Raw genomic sequence first — 637 nt, 5'->3', positions numbered from 1 at the left:
GCCGACACCCTGCTTTTGGACTTCTTGTCTCTGAACTGTGACAGAATCAATGTGTGTTGTTCTAAGCCGCCATTGTGTGGTCATTTGTTAGAGAAGCAAAAGTCCACTCACCCAGCCCCTGAAGCCCTGCGGCCCCAGCTCCCTCCTCATGCAGGACACCCTCCCCCACAGGCTGTGCCCACCTCTCCTGCATGCCTCCAAGGTGGGGGTCTCCCCAGCTGTTTAGCATCTGGCTCTCACGTGGATGGCTGAGACGTGACAGTTGTCTCCAGAGTGCTCCAGAATCTGCCTGTCTCCTCCCCACAGACCCCGCTGGCCCCACATCCCAGATGTGGCCAACCTGGCCCTGGGCCCCGTGCCTCTGCATTGAGTCCCTCCCTAGCACACCCACTTCCCTCTGGAATCTGCCTGTCTTCTCCCCATGGACCCCGCTGGGCCACCTCTGGAATCTGCCTCCTCCCCGAAGACCCTGCTGGGTTCACACTCCCACATCCCTCTGGAATCTGCCTCTTCCTCGTGGACCCCACTGGGCCCACACCCCCTACTTCCCTCCAGAATCTGCCTCTGTCTCCTGCCCATGGACCCCATTGAGCTCCCCCTCCACTTCCTGTCACCAGTGCTGTGCTAAGGGCCAGAT

Source organism: Homo sapiens, chromosome 22 (genome assembly GCF_000001405.40).
Source record: "Homo sapiens chromosome 22, GRCh38.p14 Primary Assembly".
NCBI classification, from domain to species: domain Eukaryota; kingdom Metazoa; phylum Chordata; class Mammalia; order Primates; family Hominidae; genus Homo; species Homo sapiens.
The sequence above is the reverse complement of the archived record's forward strand: the minus strand, read 5'-3'. Positions refer to the sequence as shown.